This window comes from Homo sapiens, chromosome 19 (genome assembly GCF_000001405.40).
Source record: "Homo sapiens chromosome 19, GRCh38.p14 Primary Assembly".
Lineage (NCBI taxonomy): Eukaryota > Metazoa > Chordata > Mammalia > Primates > Hominidae > Homo > Homo sapiens.
Window position 1 is genome coordinate 204,569 of NC_000019.10, and position 20,426 is coordinate 224,994.

General features: G+C 44.9%; 1 long non-coding RNA gene and 1 pseudogene across 17 annotated transcripts in view; both read right to left on the bottom strand.

Annotated features, from left to right (window-relative positions):
• The window catches only part of LOC101928344 (uncharacterized), a 42,519-nt gene that overhangs the window by 555 nt on the left and 21,538 nt on the right, over positions 1-20,426 (bottom strand). The window contains exons 8-13 of one of the 17 annotated variants that reach the window (XR_007067060.1): positions 19,314-19,480; positions 16,573-16,637; positions 7,194-7,317; positions 887-3,823; positions 602-659; positions 250-508 (exon numbers count right to left, since the gene is read on the bottom strand). This is a non-coding gene — a long non-coding RNA (uncharacterized LOC101928344). The other 16 variants (XR_007067059.1, XR_007067069.1, XR_002958438.2 and 13 more) reach the window with 16 other exon arrangements.
• Positions 18,590-18,693, bottom strand: RNU6-1076P (RNA, U6 small nuclear 1076, pseudogene; annotated as a pseudogene).

Here is a 20,426-nt window from a genome sequence, read left to right on the forward strand (position 1 = left end):
GAATAAGTCATTTTAACTTATTCTTCTGTTTTTCTTTTATCTTCCTGCCATCATCCCACAGCCTTACTTTAGAAATTTCTTTTTTAGAAAATTGAACAAGTGCTCCTTGTGGTGGCACATACCTCGAGGATGGGAGGCAGGGGTGGAAGGGTCACTTGAGGCCATTAGTTTGACACCAGCCTGGCCAAAAAAGTGAGACCCTGTGTCTACAAAACAATTTAAAAATTAGCCAAGTATCGTCATGTATACCTACAGTCCCAGCTACCTGAACTTACTGAGAAAGTTCAGGGCCTGGAGAGAAGGCTGGGAGGCAGGAGCTGGGTCTAAAGAGGCCATTGTAACGATGGAGCTGTGCCTGTGGAGGCTGTTGTGAGGCAGTAGCCTCATCTGCGGAGGCTGCCGTGACGTAGGGTATGGGCCTAAATAGGCCATTGAGAGTCATGAGCTTGGTCTGTAGAGGCTGACTGGAGAAAGTTCTGGGCCTGGAGAGGCTGCCGGGAGGTAGGAGCTGGGCCAAAAGATGTAAGCACATTTGCATTTATTAGGCACTTTATTTCCATTATTACACTGTAATATATAATAAAATAATTATAGAACTCACCATAATGTAGAATCAGTGGGCGTGTTAAGCTTGTTTTCCTGCAACTGGATGTTCCCACCTGAGCGTGATGGGAGAAAGTGACAGATCAATAGGTATTAGACTCTCATAAGGACAGCGCAACCCAGATCCCTCACATGCACAGTTCACAACAGGGTGCGTTCTCCTATGAGCATCTAATGCTGCTGCTCATCTGAGAAGGTGGAGCTCAGGCGGGAATGTGAGCAAAGGGGAGTGGCTGTAAATACAGACGAAGCTTCCCTCACTCCCTCACTCGACACCGCTCACCTCCTGCTGTGTGGCTCCTTGCGGCTCCATGGCTCAGGGGTTGGGGACCCCTGCTCAAGTGCATCCAAAACGACCCTTCCCACACCAGTCTTCACAGTGGTCAAGGGCAGCAACCACTTAGCTCCCAAGGCATGTGCCTCAGCTGGCATTTCGTCACAATCAACAGTAAGTGGTAGCTTGAGTCACTGTGAGGTCACCTACTGGAAATCACCAGCATCCCATTTCCCACTGGCAAAGAGCTCAGCACTGCCCCCTGGGAAACCAAACCTATGCCCAAATCCCATCTGTGTGGGTTTACCTCCTGGGACCCTTCCTAACATATAACCTTCATAACATACTTGAGAGGCTGAGGTGAGACAATCGATTTAGCCCAGGAGTTTGAGATCAGCCTGGACGACATAACTAAATCTCATCTCTACAAGGACGAGGTGGGAGGATCACTTGAGCCCAGGAATTTGTGGCCAGCCTGGGCAACAAAAGAAGACCCCATCTGGCCAACATGGCCAACCTGGCCACCACGGTGAAACTCTGACTCTACAAAAATGATCTGGGCATGGGTGGCATGCGTGTGTAGTCCTAGCTACTTGGGAGGTTGAGATGGGAGGATTGCTTGATCTCAGAAGGCCAAAGCTATAGTGAGCTATGATCACATCACTGCACTCCAGCCTGGATGGCACAGGGAGATTCTGTCTCAAAAAAAAGAAAAGAAATATATATTTAATCTCTGTCCCTGGTTCCTGGCACAGAGCTTCTAAAGCTCTTACAAAGACCTCAGTGATAGATGTGACAGGAGCATCTTTTGTTTTAATATTTGGTCTTGGTCCCAGGTTTCTAACACAAGAGCCTCTAAGAACTTTGGGATCTCCAGCATGGTAAGAATGCATTTGGGGATGTTGTTGAGATGACTGGGTGACTGCAAGCTCCTAAATTTCTTCAAGAGGAGGGCTGATTACCATGAAACCACATGGTAAGAGGCTTGGAACTTTCAGCCTCATGCACTGAACTCCAGGGGGAAGAGGGGCTGGAGACTGACTTAATCACCAACAGCCAAAGGTTTTATCAATCATGCTTGCATAATAAAGCCTCCATAAACACCCTGAAAGGGGTGTGCAGAGCTTTCAGGGTTGCTGGACACAGGAGATGCTGGGAGGGTCGCATGTTCAACAGAGGGCATGGGAGCTCTGTGCCCCTCCGAACTTAACTTTCCCTGGGTATCTTTCTTTTTTTTGAGACAGGATCAGGCTCTTTTGTCCAAGCTGGAGTGCAGTGGCACAATCTCAGCTTACTGTAACCTAAGCCTCCCCAGTCCCCAGCTCAAGGTATCCTCTCATCTCAGCTTCCCTAGTAGTTGGAACTCTAGGTGCACAACACCACACCAGTTATTATTATTATTTTTTAATTTTTTATAGAGACAGGTTTTCACCATGTTGCCCAGGCTGGTCTCAAACTCCTGAGTTTAAGCGATCCTCCCACCTTGGCCTCCCAAAGTGCTGAGATTACAGGCATGAGCCACTGCATCCAGCATGCACGTCTCTTTCATTGACTGTTTCTGAGATGTATCCTTCACAATGAACCAGTAATAGGAAATGAACTGGCCAGATGTGGTGGCTCACATCTGTAATCCCAGCACTTTCAGAGGCTGAGGTGGGAGGATCACTTGAGACCAGGAATTTGTGGCCAGCCTGGCCAACACAACAAGACCCCATCTATACAAAAAATAAAAGAAACTAGCCAGATGTGGTGGTGCAGGCATGTAGTCTCAGCTACTAGGGAGGCTGAGGTGGGAGAACCACTGGAACCCAGACAATCAAGGCTGCAATGAGCTATGACTGCACCATTGCACACCAGCCTGGGCAACAAAATAAGACCCTCTCTCTCAGAAAAAAAGAAAATAAACTGTTTTTCTGAGTTCCGTAAACTGTTCTAGCAAATTATTAAACCCAAGAAGACAGTTACGGGAACCCCCGATTGGTAACAGGTTGGTCAAAAGTATGGTGACAACTTAGGACTTGCCATTGTCATCTGAAGTGAGGATGGCCTCGTGGGACTGAGCCCCTAACTTGTGGGGTCTGTGCTAACTCCAGGTAGTGTCAGAATAAAGTCATGGGATACCCAGTTAATATCCAGAGCACTGAAGAATCTGGTGTAGAAACTCCATACATACATTCAGTCGGAAGTGTGTGAGTAGAGACAAACATGGGCTTTTCTGTCACCTACCTGCTTAACTGCATAGGAGAGGCAATATGTGGTGCTCATGAACAAAGCAAACATTAAAGTCAGACCAGACCCAACATTTGACTCAGTCTTAATATCCAGGTGAGCCTGCGCAAATCATTCATTATTCCTAAGGTTTTCATCACTCCATTCATAAAATGGGGATAACTGTGGCACCTACATGTGATTCTGTGAGAATTAACAAAATATTATGCTTGGGGTTATTGTGATCATTATACCTGTTCCAAACTATTTGACAAGGACAGTGATGGATGAAGACATCAAAAAATCAGAAACTGCAATGAGGTCTCTCAGGCAAAATTCCATACAAGCAAATTACTGTGTCTACAAAGCATTCCTGCCACACTTAATTCACCATTCCCTGAACAAAATATGCCATCTTCATTGTTCAGGTCTGTACAGTGCTGGTGTCCCTTCCCGGGCAGTTTGCGCTATCCCATCCCGGCCCATTCCCCATCCCTCCACCTCCCCCTTCCCTCCCCACTCTCATACAACTCTTCCTCATCTTTCAGGACTTGGCTTCAATGTCACCTTAACTGGAAGCTTCTCTCACTCTCCAGAAGAGCTTCCCATTGCACCTGATGCATGGGAAACATAATTTGATCATTTTTAAGTTACAGTCCAAATCTTTTTGTACCTGAATAACATGTTGCCCAGTCAGTCTCTCTTCCTGGATTCACAAGTCTTTCATGGTAGATCCAGCTGGAAGTGACAAAAAGACATCTTTTGACATAAAGGGATGACACAGACAGACATAAGTTCTTAAATGTCTTAAATGTTATGTGAAAATTAAACAGAATTCAAAGACTTGTGGGGAGCACTTAGGAAGTTACTGGGAATGTCATAAAGGGTTAATTTGTATTTTATTTTATTTTTTGAGACAGTCTCATTCTGTCACCTAGGCTGGAGTGCAGTGGTGCAATCAGGCTCACTGCAGCCTTGACCACCTGGGCTCAAGTAATCTCACTTAATTTTTATTTGGTTTAAGAAACTCTTGGTTGAGGGTGGTGGCTTATGCCTGTAATCTCAGCACTTTGGGAGGCTGAGAGAGGTATATTACTTGAGGCCAGGAGTTTGAGATCAGACTGGGCAATATATTAAGACCCTGCCTCTACCAAAAAACAGAGTGAACGTGTGGAAGACAATTTTTCCACAGACTGGGAATGAGGGAATAATTTCAGGATGATTCAAGTGCATTACATATATTGTGCACTTTATTTCTATTATTACTACATAGTAATATATAATGAAATGATTCTACAACTCACTATAATGTAGACTCAGTGGGATCTCTGAGCTTGTTTTCCTGCAACTAGACTGTCCACCTGGGGTGATGGGAGACAGTAACAGAATATCAGGCATTAGATTCTCATAAGGAGTACACAACCTAGATCCCTCGCATGCACACTTCACAACAGAGTTTGTGCTCCTATGACAATCTAATGCTGCTGCTGATCTGACAGGACATGGAGCTCAGGTGGTCATGCAAGCGATGGGAGGGGCTAGAAATACAGATGAAGTTTCCCTTCACTCGCCTGCTGCTCACCTCCAGCTCTGTGGCCCTGTGGTTGGAGACCGCTGCTCAAGTGCATTTGAAAGGAACCATCCCACGCCGTTCTTCAGAGTCATCTTTACTGCTGCAGTGGTCAACTTGTAGCACCCCTAAGCTTGCAGGACATATGCTTCAACTGGCATTTCACAATCAACAGTATGTGGCAGCTTGAGTCATTGTGAGCGCACTTCCTGGAAATCACCAGCATCCCATATCCCATTGCAAGGAGCTCAGCACTGCTCCTTGGATAACCAAACCTATTCCCAAATCCCATCTGTGTGCGTCTATCTCCTGGTACCCTTCCTAGCATCAATTCTGTATTTGTAGGAGTCCAATCAGGAGACACAAACCACTCAAAAGTTTAAACTAGAATGAGCAAGATGGCTCACACCTGTAATCCCAGAACTCTGGGAGGCCAAGGTGGGTGGACTGCTTTGAGCTCAGGAGTTTGAGAACAGTCTGGGAAACATGGCGAAACCTCGTCTCTACAAAAAACACAAAAATCAGCTGGGTGTGGTGGCACTTACCTGTAATCCCAGCTACTCGGGAGGCTGAGGCAGGAGAATTGCTTGAGCCTGGCAGGTGGAGGCTGCAGTGAGCAGAGGTTGTGCCACTGTACTCCAGCCTGGGTGACAGTGTGAGACCCGGTATCAAAAAGAAAAAACATATATATATATATATATATATATATATATATATATATATATATGTAAATTTAATATAAAAAGTATTAATTTTGGCCAGGCAAAATGGCTCATGCCTGTAATCCCAGCACTTTGGGAGGCCAAGGCAGACAGATCACCTGAGGTCAGGAGTTCGAGACCAGCCTGACCAGCACAGAGAAACCCCATCTCTACTAAAAATACAAAATTAGCTGGGCATGGTGGCACATGCCTGTAATCCCAACTACTCGGGAGGCTGAGGCAGGAGAATTGCTTGAACCCAGAAGGTGGAGGTTGCGCTGAGCCGAGATAGCACCATTGCACTCCAGCCTGGGCAACAAGAGTGAAACTCCATCTCAAAAAAAAAAAAAAAGGTATTAATTTTTACAGAGGATCAGCACAATGAGGGACACACTAGCACAAAGTAAAGACAACTCTAGAGAATACGGAACTAGCAGAGGCCAGGCATTGTGGCTCATGCCTGTAATCCCAGCAATTTGGGAAGCCTAGGCAGGAGGATCGCTTGAGGCCAGGAGTTGGAGACCAATCAGTGCTAAATAGTGAGACTCTGTGTCTACCAAAAAAAAGAGACATTAGCCAGGTGTGGTGGTGGTGCACACCCGTAGTTCCAGCTACTTGGGAGTCTGGGGTGGGAGAAATCCCTTGAGCCTGGGAAGTCTACACTACAGTGAGCCAAGATTGTGCCACTGCACTCCAGCCTGGGTGACAGAGTGAGACCCTGTCTTAGAAAGAAAAAAGAAAAGAAAGTGTTAATCCCCCTATGGGAATCTCCTCTTCTCCTGCCCTCTCTGGAACCTCACTTGTCAGTTCTTCCTCCCACTTTCCTGTATCTTTAACCTATCCCCCACTTTTAGCTCCTTCCCATCATCATTTAAATTACTCAAACTTCTTCTGTTTTAAAAACCTCTCCCTAAACTCAGGGAGAGGTCTTCTGCACACACATTGAGCCATCTGCTCTTCCTGGTGCCTTCTCTACAGCAGCCTGAGCCATGTCTCTAATCTATGAATCTCATCATGTTACTCCCCCATTTACATCACTTCTCCTTGCCTCAGGGATTAAGTCCAAACTCCTTAACAGCCCCTGCTCTGCCCTGCCTTGCAAGGCAGCCTCACTGCTTGCCCCTCTCCATTACATCTGCTATGGAGTCCAACTGAGCCTCATCTGCCCCTTGAACGCACACTCTTTCTCCTCTGGGAGTCTCTGAAGTGGGTAATATCCTCTGCTTATAATATGCTTCCCCTTAAACCTCTACTCTCTTCCTAGCTAGCTTTGACTCCTCTGTCACTTGTCCGCTTTGGCATCACCTCCTCATAGAAGACTTCTATGACTCCCGAGATTCTCAGGAGCATGGCAGGTGAAGTGCTCCTCCCATGAATGGATGGAGATTAAGGAGTGTGTGTTATTCATGCTTAATTCACCAGTGCTTAGCTGAGTACCTGGCATAAAATAGTTACTGTGGTGGCCAAAGTAATAACCCCCACCGCCACCAATTGCTCATGTCCTATGTTACACAGCACAATTACATAGGAAGGGGGAATTAAGAGTGCAGATAAAATTAATGTTGCTCATCAGCTGACCTTAAAACAAGATTATCCTGGAGTATCTAGGAGAGCCCATGTAATTACAAGCATTCTTTAAAACTGGAAGAGGGAGGCAGAAGGTTAAGAACCAGAGACGGTGGGCACAATGGCTCATGCCTGTAATACCAATACTTTGGGAGGCCAGGGTAGGAAAATCCCTTGAGTGCAGGAGTTCAAGGTCAGCCATGGCAACATACTGAGGTCCCATCTCTACAACAAAATAAAAACAAAATTCACTGAGTGTCACGATGCTTACCTGTAGTTCCAGCTACTGGGAAGGCTGACATGGTAGGATTGCTTGAGCCTGGGAGTTTGAGGCTATAATGAGCCATGATAGGACCACTGAACTCCATCCTGAGTGACAGGGCAAGGTCCTGTTTCTGAAGAAAAAAAGGACATTGGAATCAGGGCCCTCTCCATGCTGAGGTGCCTACAAGGCATCTCTCTCTGCAAATGAGTAAACATCACCCTCCAACTCCTTACAGAGTGGAGCAACAGGAAAACTCCTTCACCTCATTTCTGTGCTGCTTGGGAGGCCTGGACAGCCCAATAACCAGCTCCTCACTGATGAAGCAATCAGGAAATGGCTCGAGTTGAGCTAAGGAGAATTTGGATCCTTCCTTTGGTTCTCAGTAGGCAGGGTAGGGGCCAGGCATGGTGGCTCATACCTGTAATCCTTGCACTGTGGGGGGCCAAGGTGAGAGGATTGCTTGAGGCCAGGAGCTCAAGACCAGCCTGGACAACATAGCAAGACCTGGGTGGCATACACCTGTGGTCCCTACTACTTGGTAGGATGAGGTGGGAGGATTGATCACTTGATCCCAGGAGTTTCAGGCTGCAGTGAGCCATGATCACACCACTGCACTTCAGCCTGGGTGACAGAGCCAGACCATGTCACAAAAAGTTAGAAAAAAAAAAAAGAGAGGGAGAGAGACTATACACAGGCACCACCACATTTGGCTAATTTTTAAATATTCTGTAGAGACAAGGTCTTGCTAGGTTGCCCAGGCTAGTCTAAAACTCCTGGCATCAGGCTGGGCATGGTGGCTCATGCTTGTAATCGCAGCACTTTGGGAAGCTAAGGCAGGCAAATCACCTGAAGTCTGGAGTTCGAGACCAGCCTGGCCAACACGGTGAAACTCTGACTCTATCAAAAATACAAAAATCAGCTGGGCAGTAGTGGCGTGTACCTGTAGTCTCACCTACTCGGGAGGCTGAGGCAGGAGAATCACTTGAACCTGGGAGGTGGAGGTTGCAGTGGACCCCATCACTGCACTCCACCCCTGGGTGACAGAGCGAGACTGTCAAAAACAACAACAACAATAACAAAAACAAAAACAACAACAACAAAAAAAACTCCTGGCATCAAGACATCTTCCTGTCTTAGCCTCCCAAAGCCCTGGGATTATACTGTTTCCTATAATTGAAGACACTTGTTCTTATACTGCTTTAAGGTATAAAGGAAGAAAAAAAAAACAGATAATGACAAATGTTGGTGAAGGCCGGGCATGGTGGCAGCCTGTAATTCCAGAACTTAGGGAGGCTGAGGTGGGCAGATCACTTGAGGCCAGGAGTATGAGACCAGCCTGGGCAACATGGTAAAATCCCACCACTACAGAAAAATCTAAAAATTAGCCAGGCATGGTGGCGTACACCTGTAATTTTCAGCTACCCAGGAGGCTGAGATGAGAGAATCACTTGTGCCTGGGAGGTCACGGCTGCAGTGAACTGTGATGGCATCATTGCACTGCGGCCTGAGAGACAGAGCAAGCCCCTATCTAGAAAAAAAAAATGTCAGTGAAGATGTGGAGGAATTGGAACCCACATACATTACTGGTGGGAACATAAAATTGTGTAACCATTTTGTTTGGGTATTTCTTTTCTTGTCATTTTAATTGGATTTTTAAAAAATCAAGACGGGGTTTCACTATCTTGCCCAGGCTGGTCTTGAATTCACGGGCTCAAGCCATCCTCCTAGCTGAGCCTCCTGAGTAGCCGGGATTACAGGTGTGAGCCATTGCACCCAACTGGTATAGCCACGTTAGAAAACAGTCTGGCAGTTTCTCAAAAGGCTAAATGTACAGTCATCCTATAATGCAACAATTTCACTCCTAGGCATATATCCCAGAAAAATAAAAATATATGTCCACACAAAAACTTGTACAACAATCTTCATAGCAGCATTATTCATAATGACCAATACGTGGAATACATGGAAACAACCCAAATATCCACCAACTGATGAACAGATAAACAAAATGCAGTGTGTCTCTACCATGGAATACTGCCATAGAAGGAATGAAATATTGATACACACTATGACATAAAGGAACTTTGAAAACACTGTGCTAAGAGGGAAAAAAAGCCACAAAAGATCACATATTGTACAATTCTATTTGTCCAGATTAGGCAAATCTATAGTGACAAAAAATTAATCAATGGTTGCCTAAGGCTGGGGGCAAAGGTAGGTGGGGAGAGTAGGAGGTAGTAGCTAAGGGGTATGGATTTCTCTATAGGGTAATGAAAGGTTCTAAAAGTGACTGTGGTGATCGATGCACAGCTCTGTGAATATTCTAAAACCTACTGAATTGCAGATTTCAATAAATAAAGTGAATGGCATTTGAATATTTTAATAAAGCTATTATTTAAAATAATAATAATAGGGGGCTGGGCACAGGTGGTCATGCCTGCCTGTAATCCCAGCACTTTGGGAGGCTGAGGCAGGAGGATCACTTGAGGTCAGGAGTTTTGAGCCCAGTCGGAGCAACATGGCAAGATCCCGTCTCTATGATAAAAAATTAGCTGGACATGGTGGCACATGTCTGTAGTCCCAGCTACTTGGGAGACTGAAGTGAGAGAACCACTTGAGCCCAGGAGTTTGAGGCTACAGTGAACCATGATCATGTCACTGTACTGTAGCCTAAGCAACAGAGCAAGACGCTGTCTCTGAAAAGGAAAGAAAACAAATGCAAGTTTTTATCACTTTGTGAGTGTAGCCAAGTTGGAGGAGAAATAGACAATAATAAAAGAGCACTGAATAATGACGGTGAGTGGCTGGTTAGGCTCAGTTGCTAGCTAAATGGCTTCTAAAAAATTCAATAAAGTTACAGCTCTGGGGACAGTCATGTAGTCAAAGAATGAAGGCGAAATTCATTACAATTGCCCATGGTCTTTATTTACATGCCTTCTAGTGAAAAATTCCTAAGTGCCTAAACAGCAAGTCTGCAATGATAGCAGCTGTTTATTAAAGACTACAAAAAAGAAATGGAGGCCGGGCGTGGTTGTTCACATCTGTACTCCTTGAATTTTGGGAGGCTGAGGCAGGCAGATTGCCTGAGGTCAGGAGCTCCAGAGGAGCCTGGCCAATATGGTGAAATCCCATCTCTACTAAAAATACAAAAATTAGCTGGGTATGGTGGCGGGCACCTGTAATCCCAGCTACTCGGGAGGCTGAGGCAGGAGAATTGCTTGGACCCAGAAGGTGAAGGTTGCAGTGAGCCAAAATCGCACCATTGCACTCCAGCCTGGGTGACAAGAGAAAGACTCTTATCTTAAAAAAAAAAAGAAAAAAAAGAAATGGCATCTTCTTCAAGAATTACATCGTGTTTCATGATAAAGAAGCTCTAATTTTGCATTTGTTCAAGTATTGATGAGATTTACCCAATATGACACCCATCTTGGATAAAATGCAAACAACACAATTTCATTTTGTCATTAACAAAACCGATTAAGTAGTCTAATATAAATTGCGATCTTATTAAAAACTGATCAGATTAAAAAAATTATGGAATTATGGAGCCAATAAGATGTTACAACCTGTTCCAAGGGGAATTCCAAAATCCACACATATCTGAGACCATCAAGTATGATGAAATATATTTGATTACTATATTGAAAAATAAACTGATTACATAGCCAACAATTGGACAGGGGTCTCCTCATCCACAGCCACACAAACCCGATCATGCAGCTATGTGGTTACAAGGCCTACATAGCCTAGAAGGGACTGGTCTGACTTGAGATTTCATTTGTATTTGTATTTTGAGACAGGGTCCCACTCTGTCACCCAGGATGGAGTGCAGTGGTATAATCATAGCTCACTGCAACCTTGACCAACTGGGCTCAAGAGATGCTCCAGCCTCAGCTGCCCCCATACCTGGGAATACAGGCAAGTACCACCATGTCAGGCATTTTTTTCATTTTTGTAGAGAGAGAAGACTTGCTATGTTGCCCAAGCTGGCCTCAAACTCCTAGAATCAAGAGATCTGCCCATCTCAGCCACATGAGTAACTGGGGCCATAGGTACATACCATCATGCCTGGCTATATTTATTTTATTTTATTAAATTTATTTTTTTTATTTTTGTAGAGAGGAGGTCTTGCTGTGTTGCCCAGGCTGCTCTCAAACTCATGGCCTTAAAACATACTCCCATCTCTGCCTCTCAAACTGTTGGAACTATAGGTGTGAGCCACTGTACCTGGCCTGACTTGGGATTTCTTTTATCTAGCATCCTTTACTTGGTAGGATTGGGAAAAGCAGTAGTGTTTTTTAAAATTACTTAATAATTCAATCAGAATCAAACTCAACCTTGACCACTGCCTTCTCTCACAGCTCACAACCAGTCTGTCAGGAAATCCTACTGACTGACTTCAATATGTATCCAGGCTCTAACCATCTCTCACCACCACCATGAACCCCGTCAGGATCACTATCATCTCCCACCGGGATGTTGCCACAGCTTGGCCCCCATGCTTCTACCCAAATCTTCCCATAGTCTTTCTCAACTCGGCAGCCAGGTCGTGCTTTTAAATCAGGAGACGGATCATGTCGCCTCTCTGCTCAGAAGCCCTCGGTGGTTCCCATTTTAGTCAGAGTAAAAGCCAAAGCCCCAGCAATAGCGTCCCAGGGCTTACACGATCTGTACCGATCCCAGCCCAGCAACTCCCTGGCCTCCTCGCTGACTTCGCTCCCTCTATCTCTTTGCTCCACTGGCCTCCTTCCAGAGCCTCAGACACACCAGAGAGTTTCCTCCTAATGCCTTTATCCTGTTGACTCAGCCTACAATGCTCTTCCCTCAGCACCTTGGCCAGCTCCATCACCTGCTTCAAACTTTTGCTCAATATTCACTTATGAGGCCAACCCTGACCACTCTACTTAACACTGCCATCTGTCCCCATTCCCACCATGCTCATTTCTTTCTTTTTGAAACAAGGTCTTGCTTTATTGCCCAGGCTGGAGTACACTGGTGCAATCACAGCTCACAGCAACTTCAACCTCCCAGGCTTAAACAATCCTCCCGCCTCAGCCACCCTAGGAACTGAGACTACAGCTGCATGCCACAACACATGGCTTTTTTTTTTTTTTTTGAGACGGAGTCTCGGTCGCCCAGGCTGAAGTGTAAGGGTGCGATCTTGGCTCACTGCAATGTCTGCCTTTTGGGTTCAAGTGATTCTCTGCCTCCCAAGTAGCTGGGATTACAGGCACCCACCACCACACCTGGCTAATGTTTGTATTTTTAGTAGAGATGGGGTTTCACCATCTTGGCTAGGCTGGTCTTGAACTTCTGACCTCGTGATCCACCCTCCTCGGCCTCCCAAAGTGCTGGGATTACAGGCGTGAGCCACTGCGCCTGGCCTTTAAAAACATTTTTTTTTTAGACATGAGGTCTCATTATGTTGCCCAGGCTGGTCTTAAGCTCCTGGGCTTAAGCGATCCTCCCACCTCAGCCTCCTAAAGTTCTGGGATTACAGGCGTGAGCAACTGTAACATGAGGTCCCAGCTTCATGTTCATTTTTTGTTGTTGCTACAACAAAGTACCCTACATTTAGTGGCATCAAACACCACAAATCTACCATCTTACAGTTCTGGGGGCCAGAAGCCCAACTAGGTCTATCAAGGCTAAAGTCAAGGTGTCAGAGAGGCTGCATTCCTTCTGGGGGAGGCTCTAGACAGAATGTGCTCCTTTGCCTTTTCCAGCTTCTAGAAGCCACCTCCATTCCTTGACTTACCTCGTGACTCCATATTCAAGGCCAGAAGTGCAGCATCTTCAAATCTCCCTCTCTGACCTCTTCTTCCATTACCACATCACTTTCTCTAATTCTGACTCTCCTACCTCATTCTCTTATAAAGATCCTTGTGATTGGTGGGTATGGGGGCTCCCATCTGTAATCCCAACATTTTGGGAGGCCAAAGAGGAAGGATTGCTTGAGGCCAAGAGTTAGAGATCAGCCTGGGGAAAATAGGAAGATCCTGCCTTTACAAAATTAAAATCAGCTGGACATGGTGATGCATGCCTGTAGTTCCAGCTACTGGAGAGGCTAAGGTGGGAGGATTGCTTTAGCCTAGGAGGTCAAGGCTGCAGTGAGCTATGATCACATCACTGCACTCCAGCCTCAGTGGCAGAGTGAGACTCTGTCTCCGATATAAGAAAAGAAATATACATTTGGTCTCTGCCCGTGGTTCCTGGCATAGAGCTTCCAAAGCTCTTATAAAGCCCTTCGTGACAGAGGTAATAGGAGCATTTTCTGTTTTGATATTTAGTCTTAGTCCCAGGTTCCTGACACAAGGGCCTCTAAGGTCTTTCAGATCTGCAGCATGGTAAGAATGCATGTGGGATGCTGTTGAGCTAACAGGGTGGCTGCAAGCTCCGAGACTGCTTCAGGAGGAGGGCTAGCTGCCAGAGAAAGCAACCACTTTTTTTTTTTTAAACGGAGTTTGGCTCTTGTAGCCCAGGCTGGAGTGCAATGGCACAATCTCAGCTCACTACAACCTCCACCTCCCGGGTTCAAGCAATTCTCCTGCCTCGGCCTCCCGAGTAGCTGGAATTATAGGGATGTGCCACAACGCCTAGCTAACTGTTGTTATTTTTAGTAGAAATGGGGTTTCACCATGTTGGTCAGGCTAGTCTCAAACTCTTGACCTCAAGTGGTCCATGTGCCTCAGCCTTCCAAACTGCTAGGATTACAGGAGTGAGCCACCGCACCTGGCCCCAACCACATTTTTTGAGGCTTGGAACTTTCAGCCTCACCTGCTGAACTCCAGGAGGCAAAAGGAACTGGAGATTGACTTAACTACCAATGGCCAGTGATTTTATCAATCATGCCTCCATAAACACCCAAACAGCAGGGTTTGGAGAGCTTCTGTGTTGCTAAACACAAGGAGGTCCTGGGAGGGTAGTGTGCCCAACAGAGGGCATGGAAGCTCTGTGCCCCTCCCCACTTACCTTGTCCTGTGCATCTCTTTCATTGGCTGTTCCTGAGATGGAGCCATTACATTGAGCCAGTAATAGAAAATAAGGTGGCCAGATGCACTGGCTCATGCCCGTAATCCCAGCACTTTGGGAGGCAGAGGTGGGCAGAATCACTTGAGCCTAGGAATTTGAGACCAACCTGGGCAACATAAGAAGACCCCATCTATACAAAAAATAAAAGAAATTAGCCAAATGTGGTGGTGGGAACCCTGTAATTCCAGCTACTTGAGAGGCTGAAGCAGGAGAATCACTTGAGCCCTGGACGTTGAGGCTTCAATAAGCTATGATTGCACCACTGCACACCAGCTTGGACAACAGAGCGAGGCCCTGTCTCTTAAAAAGAAAAGAAAAAAAACTTGTTTTTCTAAGTTCTGTGAGTTGTTCTAGTAAATAATTAAACTCAACAAGAGGGTCATGGGAAACCCTGATTTCTAACTGGTTGGTCAAAATACAGGTGACAACCTAGGACTTGCAACTGGCATCTGAAGTGAGGGTGGTCTTGTGGGACTGAGCCCCTAACCTGTGGGTTCTGTGCTAACTCTAGGTAGTGTCAGAATGGAATTGTGGGATACGCGGTTGGTATCCAGAGAGTTGGAGAACTGGTGTAGAAACTCTGCACACACATTTGGTCAGAAGTCTGTGAGTAGAGAGAAACGTGTTGCAGGAAGTCAGGGACCCCAAACGGAGGGACTGGCTGAAGCCACAGCAGAAGAACATAAATTGTGAAGATTTCATGGACATTTATTAGTTCCCCAAATTAATACTTCTATAATTTCTTAGGCCTGTCATTACTGCAATCTCTGAACATAAATTGTGAAGATTTCATGGACACTTATCACTTCCCCAATCAATACCCTTGTGATTTTCTATGCCTGTCTTTAATCTCTTAATCCGGTCATCTTCGTAAGCTGAGGATGAATGTCCCCGCAGGACCCTGTGATAATTGCGTTAACTGCACAAGTTGTTTAAACAATATGAAACCTGGGCACCTTGAAAAAAGAACAGGATAACAGCAATTTCAGGGAACAAGGGAGATAACCTTAAACTCTGGCTGCCTGTGGGCCGGGTTGAACAGAGCCATATTTCTCTTCTTTCAAAAGCAAATAGGAGAAGTATTGCTGAATTCTTTTTCTCAGCAAAGAACATCCCTGAGAAAGAGAATGCATCCCTAAGGGGAGGCCTCTGAAATGGCCGCTTTGGGGACGGCTGTCTTTTACAGTCGTAGATAAGGGATGAAATAAGCCCTGGGTTCACGTGGCGCTCCCAGGCTTATCAGGACAAGGAAATTCCCGCCTAATAAATGTTGGTCAGATGGGTTGTCTGCTCTCAAACCCTTTCTCCTGATAAGATGTTATCAATGACAATGCGCGCCCGAAACTTCATTAGCAATTTTAATTTCGCCCCGGTCCTGTGGTCCTGTGATCTTGCCCTGCCTCCATTTGCCTTGTGATATTTTATTACCTTGTGAAGCATGTGATCTCTGTGACCCACACCCTATTCGTACACTCCCTCACCTTTTGAAAATCACTAATAAAAACTTGTTGGTTTTGCGGCTTGGGGGGCATCACGGAACCTGCCGACGTGTGATGTCTCCCCTGGACATCCAGCTTTAAAATTTCTCTCTTTTGTACTCTTTCCCTTTATTTCTCAGACTGGCTGACACTCAGGGAAAATAGAAAAGAACCTACATGAAATATCAGGGGTGAATTTCCCCCGATATCACACTGGCTCTTCTCTCACCTGTCTACCTGCTTAACTTAATAGGAGAGGCAATGCATGGTGCTCATGAACAAGGCAAGCATTAAAGTCAGACCAGACTAACATTTGACTCAGTCCTAATATTCAGGTGAGCTTGGGCAAATCACTCATTAACCCCAAGTCTTCATCATTTTGTGCATATAATGGGGATAACTGTGGCACCCACCTGTTTTTGTGAGAATCAATGAAATATTATGCTTGATGTTATTGTGATCATGATACTATCTGACAAGGGCAGTGATGCATGATAACATCAAAAAATTAGAAACTGTAATGAGGTCTCTTGGGCAAAATTCCATACAAGCAAATTACTGTCTCTACAAAGCATTTCTGCCACACTTAATTCACCATTCCCTGAACAAAATGTGCCATCTTCATTGTTCAGGTCTGTATAGTGCTGGTTTCCCTGCCTGGGCAGCTCACTCCATCCCATCCCAGCCCAATCCCCATCCCTCCACCTCCCCCTTCCCTCCCCACTCTCATACAACTCTTCCTTATCTTACAGGACTTGGCTTCAATGTCACCTTAACTGGAAGCTTCTCTCCCTCTCCAGAAGAGCTTCCGATTGCACTTGATGCATGCACTATTATTTGATCATTTTTGAGTTACAGTCCAAGTCTTTTTGTACCTGAATAACATGTTGCCCAGTCAGTTTCTCTTCCTGGATTCAGAAGTCTTTCATGGTAGGTCCAGCTAGAAGTGACAAAAAGACATTTAAAAAAAAAAAAAAAGAGGGATGACACAGACAGACATCAGCACTTAGAAGTTTTAAACGATATGTGAAAAACAAAATTTAAGGGCTTCTAGGAGAAATGTAGGAGGGAAGGTGTTACTGGGAAATATGATAGAAGGTTAATTTTTATTTTATTTTATTTTTAGAGAAAGGGTCTTGCTCTATCACCTAGGCTGGACTGCAGTGGTGCAATCACAGTTAACTGCAGCCTCAACCTCCAGGGCTTGAGCAATATTCCCATCTAATTTTTATTTTGTTTAAGAAATGCAGTCTTGCTCTTAGCAAAGCTAAAGTGCAATGGTGTGATCATAGCTTACTGCAGCCTCAACCTTCTAGACTCAAGTGATCCTCCAGTCTTAGCCTCCCCAGTAGCTCGGACTACAGGTGTGCACTGCAACGTGTAGCTCATTTTTTTTTTTTAATTTTTAGTAGAGACAAAGTGTCACTATGTTGACCAGGTTGGTGGTGATCTCCTACACTCAGGCAGTTCTCTCACCTCAGCCTTCCAAAATGCTGGGATTACAGGTGTGAGCTGCCACACCTGGCTGAGGGGGTTAATTTTTAATTATATAAAGAGCTCAAAGCAAATATTAGAAGGAGCCTAAATGCCTCCAGCAGTTGACTGGTACTGGTAAATTGTGATACATCCATATAATAAAATATTATGCAACCATGAAAAGGATTAAGATAGATCAATAGGTATTGGCACAAATGTCCACGAAATATGAAAATATGAAGTGATGTTCAATCACCATGTACGTATCTTGAAGGATATGGCCCATTTTCTCAACTGCAATTATTTCCTGAGATAAGATTATGGGTCTAAAGAGTGAAGGACATTTTTCACTTATTTAAAAGTATTTATCATTTTTATAATTTAATAAAAGATTAAACAGATCATTGAATTAGTAAAAGACAAAGTAACTCTATAAATAAATGGAAAAGACACAGATACCCCAGGCATGGTGGCTCATGCTTATAATACCAGTACTTTGGGAGGGGGTGGTGGGGGGATTGCTTGAGGCCAGGAGTTCCAGACCAGCCTAAGAAACAAAGCAAGACCTCCTCTCTAGTAAAAATAAAAAAATAAAAATAATTGGCCAGGCATAGTGGCATGTGCCTACAGTCCCAACTACTGAGGTGGAAGGATCACCTGAGCCTAGGAGGTCAAGGCTGCAGTGAGTTGAGACTGTGCCACTACACTGAAGCCTAGGAGACAGAGCGAGACTTCATCTCAAAAAAAAAAAAAAGGACAATAAAGAAATAAAGCTAATAAGCTAACATAAGGAAAGATAAAATATGTGACAAATAGGCTGGGCACATGGCTCACAGCTGTAATCAAGCACTTTGGGAGGCCAAGGCGGGTAGATCATGAGATCAGGAGTTCGAGACCAGCCTGATCAACATGGTGAAACCACGTTTCTACTAAAAATACAAAAATTAACCAGGCATGGTGGCATATGCCTGTAATCCCAGCTAATAGGAGGTCTTTCATTTATCACACAGAAAATAACTTGTTAAATTATAATACCTGTGTGGGCGAAGGTGCAGTGAAATGGCCATTTTCTTGTAGTATTAGTGGTGTTTAAAATGTATATAAGCCTTCCAGCATAAAGCTTGGAAATTTTTTTTAAATCATACAGACAGTGACTCATTATACTGCCTCCTCCAACTCCTGGCCTCAAGCAATCCTCCCACCTCAGCCTCCCAAAGTGCTGGAATTACAGGCTGACAGCCACCATGCCTGAAAGCTTTGCAATTTACATCGAGGGTAATAAGAATGCTCATGCCCTGTGACTCACAGTAATCTCACTTCTGGAAATTTCACCTTTGGATATAATTCAACCTAAACAAAAGGTCATATGCACAAACACAGTGAAAATCTGGGAGTAATTTTTTTCTCTTTTTTTAAAAAAATATGGAATGCTTCACAAATTTGCATGTCATTCTTTCACAGAGGCCGTGCCAATCTCTCTATTGTTCCAACTTAAGTATGTGTGCTACTGAGGCAAGCATGAGTAATTTAAGATAGGGTGGTTAAGTGAAATAAGGAAGAATTATGGAGAATTTAAAAATCTATGCTATTTATAGGCACCTAGTAACAGCTCAGTAAATATTAGCTGCTACTATTATTATTTTTATGGTAATTTCACTCAATTAAAAACTGTCGTTAAAAATTACCATTGTCATGGAACATAATGTCTCCTACTGTATAATTGTAGAAACAGATACAATTTGTCCCTTGGTATATGGGGGGATTAGTTCCAGCTCTCCCATTTCTGTGTATACCAAAATCCACGCATACTCAAGTTTTCGAAGTCAGTCCTGTGGAATCCACATATAACACAAATGGGAAAATTAGTGAGGTGTGGTGACAAGCACCTGTAGTCCCAGCTACTTGTGAGGCTGAGGCAGGAGGATTGCTTGAGCCCAGGAGGTTGAGGCTGCAGTGAGCCATAATTGCACCACTGCACTCCAGTCTGGGCAACAGAGTGAGACAGAAGGTTGACTTTTTAATAGAATTTTTCTGTTCACTTGAAGATATGGTCAGGATTGTGGCATATGAAAATTCTTCATAAAATAACTATCTAATCCAATTAATGCTGGAATTGGGAACAGCAGAAGTGTCATCTCACAGCTACTCGCAATGAAAGGTGATGTCTGGGGCTCAGGTGTGTTGAGGTCCCCATGCCGGGACTATGGGTGCTGAGTGGGATTTACTTGTCCATCCATTTTCTATATTCCAGCACTGGGAAACTAGGGACAGTACTTGTTCTCAAGGGAATCTTCAGCTTAGGTGGCTCTGTAAAAGAGAAATTACATCATTGAAAAATCGTCGCAGGTCAGGTGAGGTGGCTCATACCTATAATCCCAGCCCACTGGGAGACTAAGGCAGGAGGATTCCGTGAGGCCAGGAGTTCAAGACCAGCCTGAGCAACACAGTGAAACCTCATCTCTACAAAAAATTAGAAAATGAACTGGGTGCGGTAAAACATTCGTATAGTCCCAGCTACTCTGGAGGCTGAAATAGGAGGATCGCTTGAGCCCAGGAAGTGGAAGCTGCAGTGAGCTCTGATCTCACCACTGCACTCTAGCCTTGGTGACAGAGTGAGACCCTGTCTTAAGACACACACAAACACACACACACACACACACACACACCCAATCTCACTCTGTCCAGCCTTGACTAATCAAAAGGGCCTTCTGGTTACAGAAGAGGTATGCTCTTTTGTAGGACAGGGAGAGACCAGCAAGCTTGTTCACAGACTTTTCCTCATCCTCTGCTTAGTTTTCCAAGAACCCTCACAGTGGAAATGGAGTCTCTGGGAAAATGACCTAAATCTTTGGGTTACCAGGGGAGAAATATGCCTCCTTTGTCAATTAATAAATGGAACATCTGCCTTAAAATCCAGGGAGTTCTGCTAGAATGAATCACTCCCTAAGACCCTGACCAATGCATGGAACATGAAAAACTGAAGTTTAACTGGGCGCGGTGGATCACGCCTGTAATCCCAGCACTTTGGGAGGCTGAGGCGGGCGGATCACCTGAGGTCAAAAGTTCTAGATCAGCCTGGCCAACATGGTGAAACCCCGTCTCTACTAAAAATACAAAAATTAGTTGGGCATGGTGGTGGACACCTGTAATCCCAGCTACTTGGGAGGCTGAGGCAGGAAAATCGCTTGAACCTGGAAGGCGGAGGTTGCAGTTACTTCTAGAAGAATTTCCATTAGCCCTTTGAAATCCTTCA